This window comes from Homo sapiens, chromosome 6 (assembly GCF_000001405.40).
Source record: "Homo sapiens chromosome 6, GRCh38.p14 Primary Assembly".
In the NCBI taxonomy this organism is placed as follows: Eukaryota; Metazoa; Chordata; class Mammalia; order Primates; family Hominidae; genus Homo; species Homo sapiens.
Genome location: NC_000006.12, coordinates 37092409 through 37118738, shown reverse-complemented (window position 1 = coordinate 37118738; position 26330 = coordinate 37092409). Strand labels below are relative to the sequence as shown.

Below are 26330 nucleotides of genomic sequence, written 5' to 3'. Positions count from 1 at the left end.
ATTACAGGCGTGAGCCACCGTGCTTGGCTGGTTCAAAGCTTTTATTTATGTATTTATTTATGTATTTTTTTTTTCAGACGGAGTCTTTCTCTGTCACCCAGGCTGGAGTGCAGTGGCTCAATCTTGGCTTACCACAACCTCTGCCTCCCAGGTTCAAGCGATTATCCTGCCTTAGGCTCCCAAGTAGCTGGGACTACAGGTGCGCGCGCCACCACGCTGGGCTAATTTTCGTATTTTTAGTGGAGACAGGGTTTCACTGTGTTGGTCAGGCTGGTCTCGAACTCCTGACCTCAGGTGATCTGCCTGCCTCAGCCTCCCAAAGTGCTGGGATTACAGGTGTGAGCCACCATGCCTGGCCTGGCTCAAAGAATTTATTATAATATTTATTTATTTGTTTATTTATTTTCAAGATGGAGTCTTGCTCTCTCACTCAGGGAGTGCAATGGCATGATCTTGACTCACTGCAACCTCTGCCTCCCAGGTTCAAGCAATTCTCCTGCCTCAGTCTCCTGAGTAGTTAGGATTACAGGCGCCCACCACCACACCTGGCTAATTTTTGTATTTTTAGTAGAGACAGGGTTTCACCATGTTGGTCAGGCTGGTCTCGAACTCCTGACCTCAGGTGATCCGCCTGCCTCAGCCTCCCAAAGTGCTGGGATTACAGGTGTGAGCCACCACGCCCAGCTCAAAGCTTTTAAATGCTCATCATGAGTCCACATCTTTTGCCTCACGTGCTATCTGTCGCCATCCCCGACATGCACACCACATTTGCCCACGTTATGAAAAATTACTCAAGGACCCAGAGTTGGGAGCAGACTTGGGACTGAGACCTGTATTTTCCCTCTTAGACTGGGTCTCATGTCTTCTTTTTTTCTTTTTTCTTTTTTTTAAACAGGGTCTCACTCTGTCGCCCAGGCTGGAGTGCAGTGGTATGATCTCGGCTCACTGCAACCTCCACCCCCTGGTCTCAAGTGATCCTCCCACGTCAGCCTCCCAAGTAGCTGGGATTAAAGGCGCATGCCACCATGCCCAGCTAAGTTTTGTATTGTAGTAGAGATGGAGTTTCACCATGTTTGCCAGGCTGGTCTCGAACTCCGACCTCAAACGATCCGCCTGCCTTGGCTTCCCAAAGTGTTGGGATTACAGGTGTGAGCCACCACACCCAGCCAAGGATCACATATCTTCTTGACTTTCCATGTAAAAATTATCATTGCAACAGTTTTCTTCCTCTTCCTCCAGATATTCTACGATTTTGACCATGCTCATTCTCGCTGCCATCATCCTCACCCAAGTTTTCATCCTCACATGTGAATTATTGCATGGCAGTCACTCAGGTTATTAAGACTTCAGCAGGCCGGGCGCAGTGTCTCACGCCTGTAATCCCAGCACTTTGGGAGGCCGAGGTGGGTGGATCACCTGAGGTCAGGAGTTCGAGACCAGTCTGACCAACATGGTGAAACCCCGCCTCTACTAAAAATACAAAAAAATTAGCTGGACGTTGTGGCGCGTGCCTGTAATCCCAGGTACTCGGGAGGCTGAGGCAGGAGAATCGCTTGAACCCAGGAGGCAGAGGTTGCAGTGCGCCGAGATTACACCACTGTACTCCAGCCTGGGCAACAAGAGCAAAACTCTGTCTCAAAAAAAAAAAAAAAAGAGAGAAGACTTCAGCAAATACTCATGGAGCCTTACTATGTGTCAGGCCTGTGCCAGGCTTGAGGATCGGGCTGACTACATCCTTCTCCCTGCCCTCAAGGGCTTTCCAGGGAAATGGCCATATAGAGGTCTGAAACAGGTCACTACAACAGGGCACGAAAAGGGCATTGATGGGGAGATGTGCAGGGGCCTGAGGAGGGCCAGGTGGCGGCAGGGTGTTCCTTCCTGTTGGTCTTCAGGCCTTCGGGTTCTCTCCTGTCACAGGCACTCAATGTTCTATGCGTCCACTGGTCAAGATCCTTTAGCGATGTTACAGCACCAAGAGTTCAGCTTGGGATTCAGTGTTCTCCACTGTCTGGCCCCTGCATCTCACTGTTCCACAGGATGACCTTCTGTGCCAGTTGCAGCTGCCTCCCAATTGGTGCAGGTATTTTTCACACAGCTTCCTATCATATAGTCAAAGAATCACAGTAGTAACCATGGTACTACTCATTGCCTGTCTGTGGCCCTCCGCTAAGGACTTTATTGTGTTATTTTATGTAATCTTCACATCTCATTATGGTAGGTGTCATCTTCCTCATTTTGTAGATGAAGACACCAAGGTTCAGAAAGTTCAAATAACTTGCCTAAATCCTACAGCTGGAATAAGGCTGAGTAGAACTCGGCCCCCTGGTCAAGCCCAGAGTCATCCTACTATTCCCCTTCCACTCCACTGAGATGATAGGAAGGAAAGAGCAGAGGTTAGGGGTTAGTGATTTTCTCCCTTCATTCTTGCTGCTCCCACACCTGAAATATTCACTTTTTTTTCCTTTTTTTTTTTTTTTTTTTGAGGCGGAATCTCGCTCTGTTGCCCAGGCTGGAGTGCAGTGGTGCGATCTTGGCTCACCACAACCTCCGCCTCTCGGGTACAAGCAATCCTGCCTCAGCCGCGCTAGTAGCTGTGATTACAGGCACGCGCCACCATGCCCGGCTAATTTTAGTAGAGAGTCACTTTCTTTCTTTCCTTTTTTTTTTTTTTTTTTTGAGACGGAGTCTCACTCTGTCATCCAGGTTGGGGTGCAGTGGCACGATCTCGGTTCGCTGCAACCTCTGCCTCCCGGGTTCAAGCGATTCTCAGCCTCCCGAGTAGCTGGGACTACAGGCGTGCACCACCATGCCCGGCTAATTTTTGTATTTTCAGTAGAGATGGGGTTTCACCATATTGGCCAGGCTGGTCTCGAACCCCTGATCTTGTGATCCACCCACCTTGACCTCCCAAAGTGTTGGGATTACAGGCATGAGCCATCCCGCCCGGCTGAAATATTCACTTCCTCCTCCAACAGTGAATGAAACCTGAGAGACAAATGCCTTCCCCTTTTCATCCCTTGACAAACATTTCGGAATCTCCTTAGATGGTCCTTTGGGGTCAGGCATCTGTCTCCCATAGTGGTGAGCAGCTCAAGAATGCTCTCTTGAATTGTGTTCCTTTTTTTGCTGTTTAGCTTCTCCTGTCCCTCTTTTCTGCTCTCTGGAATTTCATTCCTATATAAGCTACCTACATGCAAACTGTTTATTAAGGTTCCCCTCCTAGGGGAACGTGGGTTATGCCATGTGACGTTCAATGCTATGAGACTAAATGAGATCAGCAACAGAGTAAGATAGGGAACAGATCCAAGGACTGAACTCTGCAACCCTCCAACATCTGTTTTGTTTTTAGAGAAAGGGTCTTGTGCTGTTGCCCAGGCTGGAGTGCAATGACGTGATCATAGCTCACTGCAGCCTCGACCTCCTGGGCTCCTTCCTGTCGCAGCCTTCTGAATAGCTGGGACTATGGGCGCCTGCCACCATGTCTGGCTCTCTCTAACATTTAGAGGTGAAGGAGATGAGGAGAACCTAGCAAAGGGGACCTTAATGAAATAATCAAGAGAATATAGTGTCTTGGAAGCCAAGAGAAAAAAAAATGTCTCAAGGAAGGAGGAATGCTCAGCTGATCCTTGCTGAACAGTCAAGGAAGGTGACGATTAAGTGATAGCCTGTAGGTTTAACCACGCTAGAGGGGACTGACAATCTTAATAAAGAGCAGCTTGGGTGGAGTTACGGAATGATTCAAATGGGTTAAAGAGAGAATGGAAGGGGAGAAAGTACAATTGTCCCTTATCCATCCCTCAGTATCTGCTGGGGATTGGTTTCAGAAGGTCCCTGAAGACTCCAAAATCCGTTGTTTTTTTTTAAAGATGGGGTCTTACTATGTTGTCCAGGCTGTTCTTGAACTCCTGGGTTCAAGCAATCCTCCCACCTCAAAAATCCTCCCACCTCTCAAATCACTGGGATTACAGGAGTGAGCCAAGGTTCCTGGCCCCTAAATCCTTGGGTGTGCAAGTCTCTTATGTAAAATGGTGTAATAGCTGGGTGCGGTGGCTCACACCTGTAATCCCAGTACTTTGGGAGGCCGAGGCAGATGGATCACTTGAGGTCAGGAGTTCCAGACCAGCCTGACTAACATGGTGAAACCCCTCTCTACTAAAAATACTAAAAAAATTAAAAAATTAGCCGGGTGTGGTGGGGGGTACGTGTAGTCGTAGCTACTCAGGAGGCTGAGGCAGGAGAATCTCTTGAACCCAGGAGGCGGAGGTTGCAGTGAGCAGAGATTGTGCCACTGCACTCCAGCTTGGGCAGCAGAGTAAGGCGCCATCTCAAAAATAAATAAATAAAATGGTGTAATATTTGCATATAACCTACACATCCTCCCATATACTTTAAATCTTCTCTAGATTAATTTAATAACTAGGACAATGTAAATGCTCTGTAAATAGTGTAAATAGTGTTATACTGTATGTTTTTGTTTGTTTTATTACTATTTTTTGAGACAGGGCCTCTGTTTGCCACCGAGGGGGGAGTGCAGTGGCACAATCATGACTCACTGCAGCCTTGACCTCCCTGGGCTCAGGCGATCCTCCTGTCTCAGCCTCCCAGGTAGCTGAGACCACAGGCATATGCCACCACACCAGGCTAACTTTTGTCTTTGTAGAGGCGGGTTTCCACCACGTTGCCTGGGCTGGTCTTGAGCTCCTGGGCACAAGCTGTCTGCCCACCTTGGCCTCCCAAAATACTGGGATTACAGGCTTGAGTCACCATGCCCAGCCTATTTGTATTATTATTATCATTATTATTTGAAGTAGCAGGATTTGATCTGTGGGCTTTAATTTGCCAACTCCTGCTGTATAATGTTTGAATGCTTTTTGTTGGTTTTTTTATTTTGTTTGTGACGGAGTCTCACTGTGTCACCCAGGCTGGAGTGCAGTGGCATGATCTCAGCTCACTGCAACTTCCGCCTCCCAGGTTCAAGCGATTCTCCTGCCTCAGCCTCCCGAGCAGCTGGGATTACAGGTGCGCGCCACCACACCCAGCTAAGTTTTGTATTTTTAGTAGAGACGGGGTTTTACCATGTTGGCTAGGCTGGTCTCGAACTCCTGATCTCAGATGATTCGCCAGCCTCGGCATCCCAAAGTGTTGGGATTACAGGTGTGAGCCACTGCACCTGGCCCTATTTGCACTATTTTGTTTTTATTGTTGGCTTCTTTTTTTTTCTTTCTTTCAATTTTTTTGTTTGTTTTGAGACAGAGTCTTGCTCTGTTGCCAAGGCTGGAGTGCAGTGGTGCAATCTCAGCTCACTGCAGCCTCCACCTCCCAGTTCCAGCGAGTCTCCTGCCTTAGCCTCCCGAGTAGCTAGGACTACAGGCACACGCCACCATGCCTGGCTAATTTTTGTATTATTAGTAGAGATGAGGTTTCACTGTGTTGGCCAGGCTGGTCTCGAACTCCTGATCTCAGGTGATCCACCTGCCTCGGCCTCCCAAAGTGTTGAGATTACAGGCGTGAGCCACCGCTCCCGGCCTTTTTCAAATAGTTTTGACCTTTGGTTGGTGGAAGCCATGGATGCAGAACCCACGGATATGGAGGGCCGACCACATAAATAATTATTTTATGGCGTTTTCCTATGAAGGTGAGTGGAGAAAGGGGATGCAAGCTGGAGAGGATGCTATGGTTTGAATGTGTCCCCCAAAGTTCATGTGTTAGAAGCGTAATCCCCAATGCAACAGTGTTTTGAGGTGGAACCTTTGAGAGGTGACTAGGCCGGCTGGGCGCCGTAGTTCACGCCTATAATCCCAGCACTTTGGGAGGCTGAGGCGGGCAGATAACGAGGTCAGGAGATCAAGACTATCCTGGCTAACATGGTGAAACCCCGTCTCTACTAAAAATACAAAAAATTAGCAGGGCGTGGTGGTGCATGCCTGTAGTCCCAGCTACTGGGGAGGCTAAGGCGGGAGAATGGCGTGAACCTGGGAGGCCCAGCTTGCAGTGAGCTGAGATCGCGCCACTGCACTCCAGCCTGGGCGACAGAGCGATACTCCATCTAAAAAAAAGAAAAAAAAAGAGGTGACTAGGCCATGAAGGCTCTGTCCTCACAGATGGATTAATGCCATTGTTGTGGGAGTGGTTTTCTCATTGAAGGATGAGCTTGAGCTTGGCCCCCTTCCTTCTCCCGCCTCATTCCCCTCTATGTTGCCCCTATGATGCCTTATGCCATGTTATGATGTGGCAAAAAGGCCCTCGCCAGATGCCAGCCCCTTGACCTTGGACTTCCCAGCATCTAGAACTGTGAACCAAATGAATGTTTTTTCTTTATAAATTATCCAGCCTCTGGTATTCTGTTATAGCAGCACAAAGCAGACTAAGACATAGGGTCAAGAGCAACTTTTTTTAAAAAGATGAGTGAAATTACACATATTTATGTGCTGATGAAAATGATTCAGCAAAGAAGAAAAAACATGACGCAGGAGAGAGGAGGGAGAATGGCTGGAGTGAGGGGATGGGATCTCGTGCTCAGTGAAGGTGTATGCCTTAGATAGGAGCATAGACCATTTATCCCTAAACTACAGAAGGGAAAGCCGAGCATGTGGGCAAATTCTCCCATCTCATGACTTATTGAGTGCTTGACTTGCAAGAGATCATTAAGACCTTGAGTCTGTGCTGCCTAACCTTCCTCTCCATTTTGCAGATGAGACCTAGAGGGAACTGACTTACCAAAGGACACACCAATGATTGTCATGTGTGCACCAATGATTATTTGTTTTGTTTGTTTTTGAGACGGAGTTTCGCTCTTGTTGTCCCGGCTGGAGTGCAATGATGCGACCTTGGCTCATTGTAACCTTTGCCTCCTGGGTTCAAATGATTCTCCTGCCTCAGCCTCCCAAGTAGCTGGGATTACAGGCACCCGCCACCATGTCTGGCTAATTTTTTTTTTTTTGAGACGGAGTCTTGCACTGTTGCCCAGGCTGGAGTGCAGTGGTGCGATCTCAGCTCACTGTAACCTCCGCTTCCCGGGTTCAAGCGATTTTCCTGAGCTGGGATTACAGGTGCCTGCCACCATGCCCAGCTAACTTTTTGTATTTTTTAGTAAAGATGGGGTTTCACCATGTTGGCCAGGCTGGTCTTGAACTCCTGACCTCATGATTCGCCTGCCTCGGCCTCCCAAAGTGCTGGGATTCCAGGCATGAGCCACCGTGCCCAGCCATGCCTGGCTAATTTTTTGTATTTTTAGTAGAGATGGGGTTTCACCCATCTCTACTAAAGGGATTGGCCAGGCTAGTCATTATTAGAGGCAGAGCTGGAAACAGAATCCAAGACCTTTCTTGCACCACCTAGCACATTAGGGTTCTCTCTGTGCTCAGATGTTCTACCCGCCCCACCTGTGCTCTGGGTAGTAGATGCATAGTGTAGGGGCCTCCAAGAAGACATTGGAAGAAGAAAGTGTAGAACCGAGCAAACTTCAGAATAGGATCAATAAGCCATTGGGTTAGGTGATTTGAAAGTCTACTGATGAGTCTAAGGGATCTCCCTAGATGTATTTAGGAGTAACTGAGTCATTGTAAGGAAAGCTATAAACTGGTAAACTGGACTCAGAAAAATCTGTCAAAATGCAGAAAGAGGATAGTGTAAATCCAAGTGCAAACAGAAGGGCGTGGATCCTTCTGGGATATAGATTCCTGGTTTCAAATGTTCCATCAAGCTTTGTTTCCTGATGTGGGGTTTGGAAACATAGTCCCTTTAAGCTTAGATGGAGTTGAATGCTGCTACTCTATTCAGGACTGGATGATGAGTTTCCAGAAGGGAGAGGCCGCAACAAAAGAGGCACAAACAAGCTGGTCCCATGAAGGAGCCAAACACCAGATTTCACCTTGACCTCCAGGAAACTTGTGAAACCACTGCATTCTCTTTCCCCTAATTCCACTCATTTCGAAACATTCTCTGAGCTGTTGTGCGAGGCACTGTGCTTAGTGCTATAGGTATGACGGGTAAGCGAGAGGTGGGGGGTGGTATACAGAACAGATAAACTGAAGGAGGTCCCACCTTCCAATTTTTACAGGCTTCTAGTAAGAATGAGCGATTCACACATTGGACTGTGATTTCATGCCCACTACTCAGTCTCCCGATTACTCATTCTGCTTCTCATTTAGCTCTGTGTTGGACAGAGGGGGCGTGTAATATGGGGGGAGTCTGTGTCTCTAGTCACTGCAAAGATAACTAACTCCCTGACTGTGGATTCAAAGATATAAATTATAAACTGCTATTGGGTACAAATTATTCCCATGTGAGCTTGTTGAGCGTGATCCACTTATCTCTAGGGCTGATCGCTAGTTAAATCCTGCCCAAGTAGCTGAAAGCCTGTTTGTTTTACGACAAACAGGAGACAGGGGCCCTTGCTGAAATTCCTGGTGTAGGATTGAACCTTAAGCCAATGCTCTAATATGTTTGTTTGGAGAATTCTTAAGTGGGTACGGTCTGTAACAGCTGTCTTCTGCCTCTGCACCAAAGCGGTATTGGAAGAGACCCACAAGGTCAGGGTTCTGACTTCCAACACTCAGGCTGTTGAGGATAGGTGGAGGAGATGAGCTAGAATGTCACCAAGAGATAATCCAGGAGACGCTTCTCTGAAGAAATTACCATGATCTCTTCATTTCTGCAGCCCTTTGCAGTTGTTTTCGAAGCATTTGCATTATCACTGATTTCATGGAATCCTCACATCGCCCCACGAAGTAGGTGGAGCAGGTTTTATTATCACTGTTTTGCAGCTGAAGAGACTGAGGCCCCAAGAGGTGGCATGACTTGGCCCAGGTCACATGGCTAATAAGCAGTTGAGCTGGAGCTCGAGTCCAGGTCTCCTGACTGTGAGTCGAATGCCCAGGTGTCAGCCAGCCATTCCTCGGCGGCTCAGCTGCCTCCTCAGCCCCCTTGGCTCTCAGATGAGAGGCCTGGGGTGAGAGCATGGGCTTCACTCCCAGGATGGACTGGGTTTGAGTCCCACCTCTGCCCTAACTAGCTGTCTGACCTTGGGCAAGTTGCCAAACCATCTCTATGCCTCTGTTTCCTTGTCTGCAAAATGAGCAAAATAACAGTACCTCCCTGTCGGGTGATTTGGAGGAGTAAACAAGATATTACAGAGAGAACAAAACACAATGTCTGGCATGGTGCAAGGCATCAATAAATGCTATATTACCCGCTCCCCAAAGCCTATTCTCCTCAAAGACGCAACCCAAAAGAGAATACTCAAGAATCTTGCAGGCCAGGCACCGTGGCTCATGCCTGTAATCCCAGCACTAGCACTTTGGGAGAATGAGGCAGGAGGATTGCCTGAGTTCAGGAGTTCGAGACCAGCCTGGGCAACAAGGCGAAACCTCATCTCTACAAAAACTACAAAATGGGCCTGGCGCGGTGGCTCACGCCTGTAATCCCAGCACTTTGGGAGGCCGAAGTGGGCAGATCACCTACATCGGGAGTTTGAGACCAGCCTGACCAACATGGAGAAACCCCATCTCTACTAAAAGTACAAAATTGGCCGGGCATGGTGATGCATGCCTGTAATCCCAGATACTCGGGAGGCTGAGGCAGGAGAATCACTTGAACCTGGGAGGCAGAGGTTGCAGTGAGCTGCGATTATGCCATTGCACTCCAGCCTGGGCAACAAGAGCAAAACTCCATCTCAAACAAAAAACAAAAATCAAAAATCAAAACTTAGCCGGGTGTGATAGCATGCATCCTGACCCTGGAGTTCGAGGCTACAGTGAGCCAAGATTGTGCCACTGCACTCCAGCCTGAGTGTCACAGTGAGACCCTGCCTCAAAAAAAAAAAAAAAAAAAAAAAAAAAAAAATATATATATATATATATATATATATATATATCTTACAAAAGGTTCCCTGATTTCCTTCCTTGTCATTTCTTGCTCTTCCCCCACCCCTCACTTTGTGATAATGCTACATCAAATTTGGACGGGCCAGGCACAGTGGCTGATGGGGCACAGTGGCTCATACCCATAATCCCAGCACTTTGGGAGGCCGAGGCAGGCAGATCACTTGAGGTCAGCAGTTCGAGATCAGCCTGGCCAATATGGCAAAACCCCATCTCTACTAAAAATACAAAAATTAGCTGGGCATAGTGGTGCACGCCTGTAATTCCAACTACTTTGGAGGCTGAGGCATGAGAGTTGCTTGAACCCAGTAGGCAGAGGTTGCAGTGAGCCAAGATCACGCCACTGCACTACAGCCTGGGTGAAAAACAAAACAATGATAATAATAATTTGTACATCTCTTTTTACTTTTCTTTTCTTTTCTTTTTTTTTTTGAGACGGAGTTTTGCTCTTGTTGCCGAGGCTGGAGTACAATGGTGCGATCGCTGCTCACTACAACCTCCACCTCCTGGGTTCAAGCGATTCTCCTGCCTCAGCCTCCTGAGTAGCTGGGATTACAGGTGCCTGCAACCACAACTGGCTAATTTTTGCATTTTTTTAATAGAGACAGGGTTTCACCATGTTGGCCAGGGGCTGGTCTGGAACTCCTAACCTCAGGTGATCCTTCCGCCTCAGCCTTCCAAAATGCTGAGATTACAGGCGTGAGCCACTGTGCCCAGCCTCTTTTTACTTTTCTTTCTTTCTTTTTTTTTTTTTAGACAGAGTTTTGCTCTTGTTCCCCAGGCTGGAGTGCAATGGTGCAATCTCGGCTCACTGCAACCTCTGCCTCCTGGGTTCAAGCAATTCTCCTACCTCAGTCTCCCGAGTAGCTGGGATTACAGGCATGTGCCTCCACACTGGCTAATTTTGTATTTTTAGTAGAGACGGGGTTTCTCCATGTTGGTCAGACTGGTCTTGAACTCCCCACCTCAGGTGATCCACCTGCCTCGGCCTCCCAAAGTGCTGGAATTACAGGTGTGAGCCACTGTGCCGAGCCCTCTTTTTACTTTTCTTTTTTTTTTATTTTTTATTATACTTTCAGTTTTAGGGTACATGTGCACAACGTGCAGGTTAGTTACATATGTATACATGTGCCATGTTGGTGTGCTGCACCCATTAACTCGTCATTTAACATTAGGTATATCTCCTAATGCTATCCCTCCCCCGCTCCCCCCTTTTCACTTTTCAAAGTGCTTCCCCTCTCTTGGGATCCTCCCGTCAACCCTGTAAGATAAATAGAACCCGAAATCTTCATTCTCTTATTTCAAGTGAGAAAACCAAGGTAAGAGAGGTGAATTGACTGCACTAAGGCAACACCCCTGTTAGCCGAGGAGCTGGGACTCTTCTTTCAGTGTTGATTCCTTGCCGGAAATCTTTGATGAATTGTGTGGGTTTCCTTTCCCACCTTTGACATATAGTAGCTAGGGGACCTCATGGACTTTCTGCAAACTCAGGATTATCTTTGAGAACCCAAACAGGGAGGAGAAAAGTGGTTTGCCTCCACGAGACTCCCCGATCCCACTCGATTTCCCTGCACATCAAGACCTGGGCCTGGGGATTGGAAAGGTAACCTAAGGTAAGGGGTAAATTCCATCTGCAGCCAAAGACCAGCTCTGAGCTGGCTTCCCATGAGCAGGGGAGGGTGGAAAGGTCAAAAGGGTGGTGCTCTTCCTGAGAGTCCAGCGTCGGCTCTGCCACTTGATATCTGAGAACACCTCGAACAAGGCAAGGTGCACCTCAGTTTCCTCATCTCTAACAGGAACACTGGATTAGATAATGTCTCAGCTGACTTCCTGATAACACAAAAGAATTTGCTTGAGGATAACAGTGACACATTATGGACCACTTTTAGAAACTTTTATTATGGAAAATTTCAAAGAAATTCAAAGTCAACAGAACAATATAATGAACCTCCATGTATAGATCCCCCAAATTCAGCAATCATCAGCATTCTTTCTTGTTTCATCTCTACCTCCACCACCTTGCCCACGTGATGGTTATTTCTTTTCCTCTATATGTGGTGGGAAGGGTTTGCTTTGTTGCCCAGGCTGGTCTCCACCTCCTGGCCTCCAGCGATCCTCCCACCTCGGCCTCTCAAAGTGTTAGAATTACAGGCACCTGCCACCGCGCCCAGCCTGGTTATTTAATGATTATTATTATTTTTGAGACAGAGTCTTACTCTGTCACCCAGGCTAGAATGCAGTGGCACGATCTCGGCTCATTGCATCCTCCACCTCCCAGGTTCCAGTGATTCTCGTGCCTCAGCCTTCTGAGTAGTTGGGACTGCAAGCGCATGCCACCACACCCAACTAATTTTTGTATTTTTAATAGAGACAGGGTTTCGCCATGTTGGCCAGCCTGGTCTCAAACTCCTGGCCTCAAGTGATCCTCCTGTCTTGGCCTCCCAAAGTGCTGGAATTACAGGCATGAGCCACCACGCCTGGCCAGCCTGGTTATTTCTTATAGTTCTTTTTTTTTAACTTCTAGTGAAATTTACATACCTTGAAATGCAGAAATCTTAACTGTGTAATGTTGACAAATGGAACCACCCATGTAACCAATGTCCATCATTGGCAAATGATGTACATTGTATTATGTACAAAGTACATAATATGATGTACAAAGTATTAATATAACTGAATTTATTAACAAATTAAACATTTAAATATGACTTTAGCACACTAGGGGTTAGCAAATACTCTCTTTTTGGGGCTGGCTAAGTTAGCACCAGATCTGCAGTCTTAAGTCATTATTTTCCTTCCTGCCTCTACCCATGCTGTCATCCTTGTGTGTCCCTGGAGCTTATGGCTTTCTCCTGCATGCACCTCTATTATGAGGCTTTTATTGTCTTGGCTACAAATTCTTATAAACTTGTTTTTTTTTTTCTTTCCTATACATTTATCCTTCTCCAGGTTTTTTCTTTTTTTCTTTTATGTTTCTCTCTTCTATAACCTCTTTCTCATTCCTGTTGCTGTTTTCTCCTTTAGAGTTCTTAATTTTCTGTGTTCACCCCACCTTCTCTGATCTCACTGTCCTGTATCTTTTGGTCTATTTATATGCTGGACGTTAGACACTGAGCCATAACCCCAAGGTCCAGCCCAGGGCTAGGCACTTAGTCAACAGTGAGTGAGTGAGTGAATGAAAGCGAAGGACGACATAGTCTGAAACCACCTGCAATCTGGTTACAGTAATGTGGTCAACTAAGGAACCCTAACTCGTTACCCTGGACCACATCTTTCTCTTTGCATTGAGCAAGAAGCTATTTATCTGCCCCCTTGGAAGCTCCAGCATTTGAAAGGAAGGAGGCTGATTTCCTGACAAAATGTGACCCAAAGGACCATCCTCCTCCTACTCCCCATCATTTAAAAAAAAAAAAAAGAGCAAGCAGGGGCTATCAGGGATACTTCCTGTTTTCCTCTCTTGAAAGCATCCTGGATAGATGAAACTGAAGGATCAAAGGGACTGCCTCCTCTGGGGCCTGGGGACTGGCAGAATGGCTTTTAACCCTCTGCTGTCTCCCACATGTGAGTGGCATGGGCAGTTGACGTCTTATATTTCCCTAGTAGATTTTGACTTCTTTTGGGCAGGGGCCTTGGCATTCATTCATTCGTCAAACATTACTGTACCTACCAAATCCCAGGCCTTGAGGATCTGGGGATATAGAGATAAATATGACAGTGTCTGGCCTCATTCATCTAACAGTAATGATCCCATGTGCTAACATGATCAAGTATTTTCTCCCTGTGAAGCTCTTACTACATGCTTTTCATGCATTTGGTCCTCACAACAAGCTGATGGGGTATTCTTGCCCCCATCTTACTGACAAGAAAAGCAAAGCTTCTGAAAGTAAAATAACCTGACACAGGCATGTGACTGGTAGGTGTCAGGCCTGGGGTTAGAGCTGAGCGGTCTGAGCAGAAACCATGTTTATGGCTGATACACTAGCCTGACCCTGGAGACCTGCCTCCGTGTTTGAAACATGGTAGTGACTTTATTGCTAGTAATTTTTACAAGTGCATTTTATCTCTAGGCTTGGTCAGGTGGCTTCTGGTGAACAGGTTTGTTTACATCCGACTTACTGTATCATATTGTATTAGAGCATAGGTGAGTCAGCTTGCGGCCCCCTGAAGAGTGACAACAAGGCTGGAAAAACCAAGAGGCAACCTTTGGCCCTATTTGAGGAACGAAGAGAGCGTCAGGCTCTTGCTTCCCCTCTCTCATTTCTGGAATAGATCAGATTCCACAGATTTGTTTTGCTTTTTGTTTTGTACTGCATTTTTTTCCAATCCTGGAAAGAAAGCCGAGGGAGGTTGGGTGCGGTGGCTCATGCCTGGCAGCCCAGCACTTTGGGAGGCTGAGGTGGGCGGATCACTTGAGGTCAGGAGTTTGAGACCAGCCTGGCCAACATGGTAAAACACCGCCTCTACTAAAAATACAACAATTAGCTGGGCGTGGTGGCAGGCGCCTATAATCCCAGCTACTTGGGAGGCTGAGGCAGGAGAATTGCTTGAACCCGGGAGGCAGAGGTTGCACGGAGCCGAGATTGCGCCACATAGTGAAACCCTATCTCAGCTAAAAATACAAAAAATTAGCCGGGTGTGGTGGCGGACACCTGTAATCCCAGCTACTCAGGAGGCTGAGGCACAAGGATTGCTTGAACTTGAGAGGCAGAGGTTGCAGTGAGCTGAGATCATGCCACTGCATGCCAGCCTGGCCGACAGAGCGAGACTCTGTCTCAAAAAACAAAACAAAACAAAACAAAAAAGGAAAGATATTTTCTCCATTTTTTCCGGAGAGGAATCGAGGCTCAGAGTAGTTAGTTAATATACCCCAAGTCACACAGCTAGACAGAGCCAGGATTTGATCCTAGGTTTGACTAACTCCAGACCCTCCACTTGAATTATTCTACTTCCCTGATGCTAAAGTTGGCAGAGAGAGGAAGAAACTCCCTTCCTGCTGAGGTTCCTGACAAACAGTAGGGGCAGGTGAGGGTAGCAAGTAACCCTGAGATCTGCTGGTTAGGGACGCCTGGCACAAAAGGATCTTAAGATGCCTCTGATTCTGCAATTCTATCTCTTTAAGACCCAGAGTTCCCATGCCAAGCCTGCTCTGTGATCCTCAGAGATTTCAGGGGTGGGGAAACTGGATTGAATGCGCTGACATACAAGCAAAAAAAGACCTCAGCATTTTTGCCTCGCCTCGGTGGCTCCGGCCTTTTTTTATTTTTTTTCCCTCTCTCATTTATTTATTACTATGCTATTCCCTGGCCCTGCTGCTGTGTCAATACTGATAAAAGCAAATCACCCCACAAACAGGTGCAGCTGGGAGCTGCCCCTTGGACAGCTGCCAGGGAAATGTGATCGCTCAGCTGGGGTGACCTGCCCCGGCCCAACCCCCTCTCAGGTTCCAGCCCAGGGCATGTGTCCTTGGGCAGTTAATGTTGGTCCACATGTCACAGCCCTGGTATCCCAGTTGGCATCATGGACTTGTGCTGGTGTGTGTGGTTTGGGTGGGGTGGGTATATGCAGGAGAGAAGGGAGGCTCCCAGGAATTTATTTTCTCTTTCGGTTTCTTCCAACAAATTCAGAAAATACAATGTCACCAAGTCCCCCTGCAAGAATTTGAAAATATTTCCTAAGAATATCACTGCCTTATTTGCCTAGGTAAGAAATATTTTTTCCCATTCCCAAATTCACACACACATGCAGTGTAATGATCCAAAAGAAATTTTCTGAGTATCTCCTAGGGCTTAGCTGTGAGTTCACCTAAATAAACATTTTGTGAGCCAACCCTGCTATCCAGAATGCATTTTGATGCTACCAAGCCATGTGACTTTGACTCTGGCTTGGAAAGATTTTATTTCATTTCCCCTCCCCCATTTCAGTGTTTTGTCCCCAAGCATCATTTCCCCACTTCCCTAGGGCACCAGCCTTTCCGGAAATGCCCTAGCTCTGCGTGCAGCCTCCGCCTCCCGGTGTGGAGAAGGCGGTGACAGCGCCGCGCCGGAGCCGCAAGGCGGGCCTGGGCGGAGGGCGAGGGGCCGGGGCGGCCGGGCCAGGCTGCCCGCCTGCCGCAGAGCAGCGCGCAGCTCGGGGAGGGAGGAGGTTGCCATGCAAATGACGCGGCGTCCTGCGGGCCCCCCTTACCCGGGGGCCCTCTGGTTGCCAAAACAGAGCATTCCCCAGAACAGTCGCCTGGAAACGAGCGCTGTCATAGCAGCCTTGAGCTCAGTAGCAGCGAGCCAGCTGTGCTGCCACGAGGAGCTGGGTCAGGATGTTCAGACCTCCTCAGCACCCCCTCCCCACCCAGTCTCCACCTCGGGGAAGGGAGTGGTGGCTTGGGCCACCGTGGAGGGGAGGGAGGGCACTAATTGGATTGGAACACTCCTGAAACACATCAGCTGCTCCTCCCTGGGGGAGGGGGAGGAGGAAAGCTGCAGACTGTCTTTGTGATCGGCTCAGCCTCTCCCTCCCAGCAGCCTCGCCCTGACCTGGTCCTCACTGGCCTCTGCCCACCTATCGCTGTCCTGGGGCACAATGGCAAGATCTTTGTAAAATGGAGGAGGCAGACACCGGATCAGATAATCACCAAAATGAAATTCAGCCTTGATATGAAGGGTACCGTGGTGATGCTACCGGGATCTGACCTGGTTTGGAAGGGTTAGGGAAGAATGCAGGTTTGCCACAGCTCCCACGTACTCTAACTACTTCATCCCTTAACAGCCCCCCGTCTTTCCAGCACCTTTTCTCATCAGCTCAGCTATGCCAACCTGGTCTTCCTTAAACCTTGGGAGCATTTGCTTTTTCCTATTTCATTTGGCACCCAGAGAGCTGCTCATCATTTAAGCGTGTGTGTGCTCACCAATTAAACTACAATATAAACTTTAAGAGGCAGGACCCATGTTATCATTGTCATGGCCCACCTTGACCATGAAGAACGAGACAGGCCAGGCGCAGTGGCTCACGCCTGTAATCCCAGCACTTTGGGAGGCCGAGGCGGGCGGATCACGAGGTCAGGAGATGGAGACCATCTTGGCTAACACGGTGAAACCCCGTCTCTATTAAAAATACCAAAAAATTAGCTGAGCATAGTGGCGGGCGCCTGTAGTCCCAGTTACTCAGGAGGCTGAGGCAGGAGAATGGTGTGAACCCGGGAGGCAGAGCTTGCAGTGAGCCGAGATCGCGCCACTGCACTCCAGCCTGGGCGACAGAGTGAGACACCATATCAAAAAGAAAAAAAAAAAAAAAGAACAAGACAGAGTTTTACAGACCTGCTTGAATTTAGGTGCCAGTGATCTTTGTCAACATAGTCATCACCCTGGGAGGCCTCTGGCGTTGCCTTTGCAACAACTGTTTTAGATTGGCCTTCAGAGACTAGTAAAACCTCTCCTGGGACTAGGGAGGGGAGGAGATTCAGTGACAGCCTGAGTGACAGTAAGCAAACAGGTGGGCTACAGAGAAAGTGGACGACTACTCAGGACACATCGAGCGTTTCATGTGGTCCGGAGGCTGTACGCCAGAGCTTACAGGTGTGACTTAAGCATGTATGTGCAAGGGAGTCCCCTTCCTTCAAATTCCTAAAGGGCCTTGGGAGTCTTATGTACCCAAACAGCAAGTCTTCATTCAACCTTGCTTGGTAAGGCAGCATGTAAATGTGCAATCTCTCTCTCCTCCCTCTTCCTTTCCTTTCTAGTGTATTGAGTTCTGCTGTCTGCCAGGCACTGAGCTAGGCACTGGAGGTTCAGAGAATGATTAAATTAGTATTCTGTATTTATGAGAAAAAAAAATCCTAAACCATATGTAGGGGGCGTTTGCCTTGCCTACAGTCACCAGCATTTTTTGATCAACTTTCCTATTTTGGGTTTTTCCCACATCATAAATCCCACTTCCCCAAAGTAAAGGCCAGAAACTGACCTTCCCAGATGTCCTTGCAACTAACATGTAAGCAGGTGACCTAAGTTCCACCGATCAGATGCACCCACATTAGATTTTTTTTTCATTTTCTTTTTCTTTTTTTTTTTTTGAGATGGAGTCTCGCTGTGTCGCCCAGGCTGGAGTGCAGTGGCTCGATCTCGGCTCACTGCAGCCTCCGCCTCTGGGGTTCAATCAATTCTCCTGCCTCAATCTCCGGAGTAGCTGGGACTACAGGCACGTGCTGCCACACCCGGCTAATTTTTGTATTTTTAGTAAAGACGGGGTTTCCCCATGTTGGCCAGGATGGTCTTGATCTCCTGACCTCGTGATCCCCCGCCTCAGCCTCCCAAAGTGCTGGGATTACAGGAGTGAGCCACTGCGCCCAGTCTTTTTTTTTTTGAGATGGAGTCTTGCTCTGTCGCCCAGGCTAGAATGCAATGGCATAATCTCGGCTCACTGCAACCTCCACCTCCTAGGTTCAAGCAAGTCTCCTGCCTCAGCCTCTCAAGTAGCTGGGATGATAGTTGTGCACCATTACGCCTAGCTAATTTTTGTATTTTCAGTAGAGACAGAGTTTTACCATGTTGACCAGGCTGGTCTCGAACTCCTGACCTCAGGTGATCTGCCCACCTCAGCCTCCCAGAGTGCTGGAATTACAGGCTTGAGCCACCACACCTGGCCTGTTTTTCCTTTTTTAGACAAGGTCTTGCGTGAACTCCTGGTCTCAAGCGATTCTCCATCCTGAGCCTCCCGAGTAGCTAGGACTACAGTTCTACAGTTGTGTACCACCAACGACATGAGTTGTTTTTTGTTTTTTGAGATGGGGTCTCACTCTGTCATCCAGGCTGGAGTGAAGTGGCACAATCTTGGCTCACCACAACCTCCGCCTCCCAGGCTCAAGTGATCCACCTCAGCCTCCTGAGTAACTGGGACCACAGGAGCGCACCACCAGGCCAAGCTAATTTTTTGTATTTTTAGTAGAGATGGGGTTTCACCATGTTGCCCAGGCTGGTCTCGAACTCCTGAGCTCAAGTGATTGTGCCCAAATTGGCCTCCCAAAATGCTGGGTTTACAGGTGTGAACCACTGGCTTCACATGAGATCTTGATTTGGAAGAAAGCAATTGAGGAAGAAAGCATCCTGGGGAAGGGGGCTTTCCATCCTCTGAACCCCACACCCATGGTTGTGCCCATCACTCAAAGGCATGCACTTGCCTCGTGTTGCCTTGTGACATGGTTCCTATTGTTACCCAACAGTCCTATTTTACCTTGAGCAAGGATGACATGCACATTTGTGACTCATTTCATATTGTTCTGCCCTCTCCCATCTCCAGACTCCCAGAGGCACTGACTGTCCCATGGCTGGCATGTGCAGTGCAGCTATTTTTCACATGGGCACAACCCATCACCCAGCATACCGTCAACTCCATGGTGTCTTGGGATTGCAACTTATGTGATTTTTGCCAACCCCCTTTCCTACGGCTTTACAAGAAATAGGATTTTATGATATGCCTGTGGAAAATGAGAATCATATTATTTATTTTCAAATTGATGACTTTCTCCATAATAAAATTATAAGCACTTGCAGACATAGCCCATTCATTCATTCATTCCTTCAGCAGTAAATGAGTGCCTATGGTATGCCTGGCATTGTGTTGAGTGCTGGGACAGAACTGAGTACAGCACAACTCCTCCTTACAATATGTTAGTTTATTAGCAAAAAACAGATACAGGCTGGGTGCCATGGCTTAAGGCCTGTATCCCAACATTTTGGGAGGCTGAGGCCTGAGGATTGCTTGAGCCCAGGAGTTAGAGAGCAGCCTGGACAGTACAGGGAGACCTTGTCTCTGCAAAAAATAAAAAAATTAGCCAGGTGGGGTGGTGTGCACCTGTAGTCTCAGACACTCAGGAGGCTAAGGTGAGAAGATCACTTTAGCCCGTGAGGTTGAAACTGCAGTGAGCATGATCATGCCACTGCACTCTATCCTGGGTGTCGGAGCAGACAAATAAGTGGGGGAAAGGTGGTACAAGCACTCTGATGGCCAGTGTGCAGGGTAGAGAAGGGAGTGGTTGGTTGGGCGCAGAAAAGACTCTTTCATAGGCACAACATCAAGTGCTTATTCTAGGACAGCTTTTTTCTCAGGACTTAATGTATATTCATTCACTTAATCTTCACAACAGCAATAAGGCAGGTGTTTTTTTTTTTTTTTTTTTTTTGTTTGTTTGTTTTTTTGTTGAGACGGAGTCTTGCTCTGTGGCCCAGGCTGGAGTGCAGTGGCGTGATCTCAGCTCACTGCAAGTTCCGCCTCCCAGGTTCACGCCATTCTCCTGTCTCAGCCTCCCGAGTAGCTGGGACCACAGGTGCCCGCCACAACGCCCGGCTAATTTTCTGTATTTTTAGTAGAGACGGGGTTTCACTCTCGATCTCCTGACCTCATGAACCGCCACCTCGACCTCCCAAAGTGCTGGGATTACAGGTGTGAGCCACCATGCCTGGCTTTTTTTTTTTTTTTTTTTTGAGACAAATTCTCACTCTGTTGCCCAGGCTGGAGTGCAGTGGCATCTCAGCTCATGGCAACCTCTACCTCTCAGGTTCAAGCAATTCTCCTCAGCCTCCCGAATAGCTGAGATTACAGGCACCCGCCACCAAACCTGGCTAAGTTTTGTATTTTTAGTACAGACAGAGTCTCACCATATTGACCAGGCTGGTCTCAAACTCTTGACCTCATGATCTACCCACCTCAGTCTCCCAAAGTGCTGGGGTACAGGCGTGAGCCACTGTGCCCAGCCAATACCGTATCTTACAGGTAAGGGAACCAAAGCCCTGAGAGGTGTAATGTCTTGCAGGGTTGCACAGCTGGTGAGTTGCAGAGCTGGGATGTGTCCTCCATACTCTAACATCCATGTGCTTAACTGCTGCACTGCACTGCCTTGAGCAGATTCTGGAAGGTGAAAAATTAGTGATCACCAGGGATCTTTACAGGCTCAGGGCATGGAGTGGCTGCCTGTTTTGTTCAGCTGGCACATGGTGCACTGGGAAATGGTATGGTGTAGAGGGCGGCCATCCAAAATACTTAAAAGTGATAGGTGAGAACTCAGTACCACAAGCTGGGACTTCAGTTGTTCTCTTTGTTCCTTGATGGATAATTTCACTTCTTAAGAGTGGTTGACCTAGACAAAATTGTAAGGTTGGCAGAATGGGCTTCTCCCTAGGCAGATAGAATTTGCTTTGGAATCTCAGGGACTTGGGTTCTGGTCCCCACTCTGCCACTGACCAGCTGAGTGACTTTGGGCAAGTCACTCAACATCTCTTAACCTCGGTTCTCTCCACTGGTAATTGAGAATAATAACCTCATAGTGCTGACATAGGATTAAATGAGATAATGCATGTCAATCAGCTTAGAATGCAAACAAGCCAAAAGTAACATTTATTCAATTTTTAAGTTCACAATATCTCATCTACAACTCCAAACACCTAAAAGCTCTGAAAACGAAACACATTTGGCAACAAAACCTGAGATTTGAGTCTCACTCTGTCACCCAGGCTGGAGAGTGCAATGGCACGATCTCGGCTTACTGCAACCTCCGCCTCCTGGGTTTAAGCGATTCTCCTGCCTCAGCCTCCTGACTAGCTGGGATTGCAGGCACTCGCTATCATGCCTGGCTAATTTTTGTATTTTTGTAGAGATGGGGTTTCACCATGTTGGCCAGGCTTGTCTTGAACTCCTGACCTCAGGCGATCCGCCTGCCTCGGCCTCCCAAACTGCTGGGATTACAGGCTTGAGCCACAGCACCCAGACAAAACCTGAGTTTTTTTTATTCCCACCTAGTGTGAATTTTCCATGTACTTTTTTGCAGGAATATTAAAGTATTTGTTTAAAGTATTTGATGACATCCCAGATTCTGCTGGGGGCTTTGCAAAATATGTGGCATGGCACTGTGTTCCTTTTCTAAAATCCGAAAGACTCTGCATTACAAAACACATCTGACCCAAAGGCATCAGGTAAGGGATTTTGACTAGCATTATCTCATCTCTAGACCACTCTCTCCACTCCCAGTCCCCCTCTTACTCTAACTGTTCAAATGGCCATTGGGCATCTAGAATCAACCCTTCTCTGCAAAAGAAATACACATACATCCATATATCCTTTGGGTCTCTCCATACACCTGTCTCCCTCAGCCAAGCTCCTTTGCTCCCACTATTTCTTCAGTCCTGATTTTTGCCAACCTCATTGAATTTAAATGCCCCCATACCCCTCTACCCCCACGCCCTGGTCAAGAACACAGATTTTAGAGATGGTGCCTTCTCTGAACTACTTTGGTAGTATAGGCCCGGCCAGTCGTTACTGCCTGTGGGCTGCAGAATTATTCCAAGAAGCTCTATGTCTATTTGAACTCCAAATACTATCTGCCAACTGTGTAAGTAATGTCTGGTGTATAACTGTGCTACTCCTTTTCAGCTGTGCTGAAGGCCTGATTGTTTTTTGTCACTATGAATTTTCCCCGTTTACCAAAGCCCAGAATAACAGCTTCTCTCCTTTGCAGGGCTGCAGTCATTTCCAAAGGGAACAAGGGGTCTTCATGCTGGGGCAGGTTACAAACCACTGAGCTGGGCTGTCTTGGTAGTGTGCCATTCCTCCTTGGTGGGGGGGAATCATGAGACCTGAGGTCAAGTTCCAGCTCTTCCCTGGCTGGTTAGATGATCTTGGGGGCAGGCCCTTGTGACTTGGAAAGCTTTGGTTTCCTCATTCTGGAGCAGAGATCATGAAAATTATTTGGCAGGATTGTGAAGAAGATTAAATGAGATAATGAAAGGACTTTGAAAACTGTGAGGTGTTGCACAAATGGAAAGCTTGTTGTCATCTTACACAAATTGTCAACTTCTTTTTTTTTTTTTTTGAGACGGAGTCTCTCTCTGTTGCCCAGGCTGGAGTGCAGTGCCGCGATCTCGGCTCACTGCAACCTCTGCCTCCCAGGTTCAAATGATTCTCCTGCTTCAGCCTTCTGAGTAGCTGGGATTACGGGCACCACCATGCCCGGCTAATTTTTGGATTTTTAGTAGAGATGGGGTTTCACCATGTTGGCTAGGCTTGTCTTGAACTCCTGATCTCAGGCGATTAGCCCGCCTCGGCCTCCCAAAGTGCTGGGATTAGAGGTGTGAGCCACTATTGTAGCTCTTGGAGCCACAATATTCCAAGTGCTCTTGGAGCACTTGGCCACATATTGTCAGCTTCTTAAAGGTGGGAATAGTCTCTTCTGTTTTCTTCAGTTTCCTCAGTGGCACTCCCCACCCCCATTCTGCAATCAACACAGGACTGGCTATAGAGATGGCCTTGTATAAAACACTGTGAAGTAACTTGCACAGTGGCTTAGCAAATAAGAGGTATTTAATAAATGGTGGTTAATATGCACGCATGTACCATCCATTGTGCGGAGAAGCAGTGTAGTGCAGCGATGTAGAGCATGGGCCCTGGTATTAATCCACTCTCTGCCACTTGCTTGGTTAGCACGTGTGACCTTGGGCAAGGTTAGCACTAATAGGCCCTAATATTCTCATCTATCACACATGGCTGATGATAGTAGTAGTTAATTCATGAAGTTGTGAAAACTGAAAGGGTTTAGTCTATGTAACAGAGCCGGGCACGAATCGAGCACTCTGTAGGCATCTGTTGTTTTTGTCTTTTTTTGCAACAAGATCTCAATCTGTCGCCCAGGGTGAGTGCAGTGGCACAATCATGGCTCACTGCAGCCTCGACCTCCTGGGCTCAAGTGATCCTCCCACCTCAGCTTCCTGAATAGCTGGGACTACAGGTGCATGCCACCATGCTCAGCTAAGTTTAAATTTTTTTTTTGTAGAGATGGGGTCTTGCTATGTTGCCGAGGCTGGTCTTGAACTCCTGGCCTCAAGCAATCCTCCCACCTCAGTCTCCCAAAGTGCTGGGATTACAGGGGAGCCACCACACCCAGCCCAGTTGTTATGTAACAAGAGGTGGTTGGTGGCTGGGCGTGGTGGCTCATGCCTGTAATCCCAGCACTTTGAGAGGCCGAGGCAGGTGGATCACCTGAGGCCAGGAGTTTGAGACCAGCCTGGCCAACATGGCGAAACCCTGTTTCTACTAAAAACATAAAAATTAGTTGGGTGTGGTGGCACGTGCCTGTATCCCACCTACTCGGGAGGCTGAGGCATGAGAATCGCTTGAACTGGGAGGCGCAGCTTGCAGTGAGCCCAAATTACACCACTGCATTCCAGCCTGGGAGACAGAGCAAGACTCTGTCTCAAAAAAAAAAAAAAAAAAGAGGTGGTTGGAGAAGATCGCCAGACAGGAAGTCTAGCTTCTGGTCTTTGTTCAGAGTCAGCATAGTCTTCAAAGAGGGTTAGATGCTCAGGCCAGCCTCTCAGGATCAGCACAAATCATGCAGTGGTGAACAGACTTGGGTGTCGTTTCCCCCAGGTGTGGGTGAAGTTCCTAGACTAGACCAGATATCATTGGGTAAAAGGTGTGCCTGTTTAACATTTGGATAAATATCACTATTGTCCAACATACAGAAGTTTCTGTCCACACCACCTCCTGCCAGAACAAGAATGCCTATTTCCCCATGTCCTAACCAACTCATATTTTTAAGTATTTTATTAATTTTTTGACTAGGTAATGTTTGCAGATGACACAAAATTTAAAAAGGTAGGGAAGGGCATGCAGTGAGAGGTCTCCACATTCCCATCGCAGCCATCCCAGTCCTGTCCCCAGAACCACAAACTTTGATCTCAGCCTTTCTGGTAAATGGAAAGTGGTATCTCACTCAATAAATCTCACAATTATGTTGACGTGAAAACAAATTACTATATATTAGGGAGTAGAATGTTGCATGTGAATGAATTTTAAGATTAAACAGGAGACTTCAAAGACATTTCACGCTCTAGGGTGGGGAGCGGCCCTTCTCTTGGGGGAAACCTTGATACAGCTCTGTGTTAGTCTGTGGAATGAATGCCTGAAGATGCCCCCACTCGTCTCGATCACATTGCGGTTTCCCTCATCCCCCAGTCACGTGTTTACCTTCCATCCCTTTGGGCTCTTCCTGCCCTTGGCCTGGTCACCACCTTGCTGCCTTACCTTAAGTCAGTCACCTCCTGCTCTGGGCTTCCTGACTTGTAAAAAAGGGGCTGAACTAGGCCTCATTCCAGGTGTAGCATTCCAAGACTGATCAACTAATTCACATTAAGGTGTAGATGACTGATAACAGCTTAATGTATTACCTCTCCTGTGGGTGGAAACATTTTAAGAGACGCAATTTCTCATCCTCCAAGAATGAATGTGCACGGTGCAATTTCAGGAATGGTCACAGGTGTGTGGGGATGATGTAGGGGGAGGGGTCCCTTTCCTGGCACCCCTCCAGTGGTCACTGTAGGCCCCCACCTGCTCCAGCCAGGGGTGGTGGCAGCCCTGAGGGGAACAAACCTGCTGGCTTCCCTCACACCACAGTCCACATTCATTTCTCTCTGGCAGCGGCCAAGAGCAGGGTTTTGTCATACAGAAAAATGCCTCATCAGGGAAACCCACGTGTGTGGCCTGGAAAACTACCTTGTCCCCTGGGGCGAGGGGTGCGGTGGAGGTGTTAGCAGCTTGATTTCTAGGTTCTCAGGTCAGTTCTTGTCCTGGGTGGGTGAGGAGACCCCCACTGGAGGGCCACTGGCCTTCCGCCAGAGCAGGTGGTCCTGCCACACCTGGATCCAAGACGTCTGCTTTTTACTGAGAGAAAGAGGCTGTGTCAGACACTGTCTGGTTTTGTTGGCTGAAGGAGGTTTGGTTTGGCTTCTGAATTTTCAGGGAGGGCTGATGGCCCGCAGCCACGAGCCACCGTTAGCCTGTGAGAAAGAGGAAAGGCGTTTCTTTAGCTGTGAAGTCTAGGCCACTGCATCCCAGCCCATGTTCCGCACTCACCCCTTGGGCCCTCATGGGGTGCCGTTTTGTCCCACTACTGTCTGGGCCTTTCTTCGGTGCAGGCAGGCGGCTGGGGAAGCCAGTCTGTGCTGCCCCCAGAACAGTGGTGGGTGGGGATGGAAACCAGGGGCTGAGGGGCCCAGGTCAGATCAGTGAGAGATGTGCCTCGCTCTCTGGCAGAACCTCCACTGTTGCATCCCCTCCTCTTTTCTGGACCAGGGCAGCTTCTCCAGACCTGATGATGCTTAACCCGTGAGCCTCATCACAGAGCATTCAGAGCTCTAGACCCTCCCTACGCAAAGGGTGGTGTATGACCAGCCTCATCCGCCTCACCTGGGAGTCGGTTATGCTGCAGGCCTTAGGGAGGTGGGAATGCCATAGAAGCTCTCTGGGGAGGCCCCTCTGAGGGGGAGACTCACCACAGGCCTGGTTCAACAGAGAGAGATGGACACTGGGAAAGGAACGCACGATGGGGCCGCGTGCTGAACTAGGGAGGTGTCTTCCCTTCCTTCCCTCCCTCTCTCCCTCCCTCCCTCCCTCCCTCCCTTCCTTCCTTCTTTCTTT

The 26330-nt window shown here is 48.2% G+C and overlaps 9 annotated features.

The window, feature by feature from the left end:
* Window positions 2599–3188: an enhancer, noted in NCBI's record as "H3K27ac-H3K4me1 hESC enhancer chr6:37083327-37083916 (GRCh37/hg19 assembly coordinates)". NCBI's record gives its function as "activates a minimal SCP1, AML or CMV promoter by ChIP-STARR-seq in primed H9 embryonic stem cells {active_cell/tissue: H9 hESC(primed)}" and the evidence as "EXISTENCE:reporter gene assay evidence [ECO:0000049][PMID:30033119]".
* Window positions 8255–9079: a transcriptional cis regulatory region, noted in NCBI's record as "candidate enhancer chr6.2479 targeted for multiplex CRISPR interference". NCBI's record gives its function as "positively regulates PIM1 gene expression with high confidence in K562 cells {active_cell/tissue: K562}" and the evidence as "EXISTENCE:mutant phenotype evidence [ECO:0000015][PMID:30612741]".
* Window positions 12982–13041: a silencer, noted in NCBI's record as "silent region_17129". NCBI's record gives its function as "represses an Ori minimal core promoter by ATAC-STARR-seq in GM12878 lymphoblastoid cells {active_cell/tissue: GM12878}" and the evidence as "EXISTENCE:reporter gene assay evidence [ECO:0000049][PMID:35858748]".
* Window positions 15369–15418: an enhancer, noted in NCBI's record as "active region_24452". NCBI's record gives its function as "activates an Ori minimal core promoter by ATAC-STARR-seq in GM12878 lymphoblastoid cells {active_cell/tissue: GM12878}" and the evidence as "EXISTENCE:reporter gene assay evidence [ECO:0000049][PMID:35858748]".
* Window positions 15665–16272: an enhancer, noted in NCBI's record as "H3K27ac-H3K4me1 hESC enhancer chr6:37070243-37070850 (GRCh37/hg19 assembly coordinates)". NCBI's record gives its function as "activates a minimal SCP1, AML or CMV promoter by ChIP-STARR-seq in naive and primed H9 embryonic stem cells {active_cell/tissue: H9 hESC(naive and primed)}" and the evidence as "EXISTENCE:reporter gene assay evidence [ECO:0000049][PMID:30033119]".
* Window positions 15857–16036: a silencer, noted in NCBI's record as "silent region_17128". NCBI's record gives its function as "represses an Ori minimal core promoter by ATAC-STARR-seq in GM12878 lymphoblastoid cells {active_cell/tissue: GM12878}" and the evidence as "EXISTENCE:reporter gene assay evidence [ECO:0000049][PMID:35858748]".
* Window positions 16047–16186: a silencer, noted in NCBI's record as "silent region_17127". NCBI's record gives its function as "represses an Ori minimal core promoter by ATAC-STARR-seq in GM12878 lymphoblastoid cells {active_cell/tissue: GM12878}" and the evidence as "EXISTENCE:reporter gene assay evidence [ECO:0000049][PMID:35858748]".
* Window positions 16273–16880: an enhancer, noted in NCBI's record as "H3K27ac-H3K4me1 hESC enhancer chr6:37069635-37070242 (GRCh37/hg19 assembly coordinates)". NCBI's record gives its function as "activates a minimal SCP1, AML or CMV promoter by ChIP-STARR-seq in naive H9 embryonic stem cells {active_cell/tissue: H9 hESC(naive)}" and the evidence as "EXISTENCE:reporter gene assay evidence [ECO:0000049][PMID:30033119]".
* Window positions 18852–19146: a silencer, noted in NCBI's record as "tiled region #7768; K562 Repressive non-DNase unmatched - State 7:EnhWF". NCBI's record gives its function as "represses a minimal TATA promoter and a strong SV40 promoter by Sharpr-MPRA in K562 cells {active_cell/tissue: K562}" and the evidence as "EXISTENCE:reporter gene assay evidence [ECO:0000049][PMID:27701403]".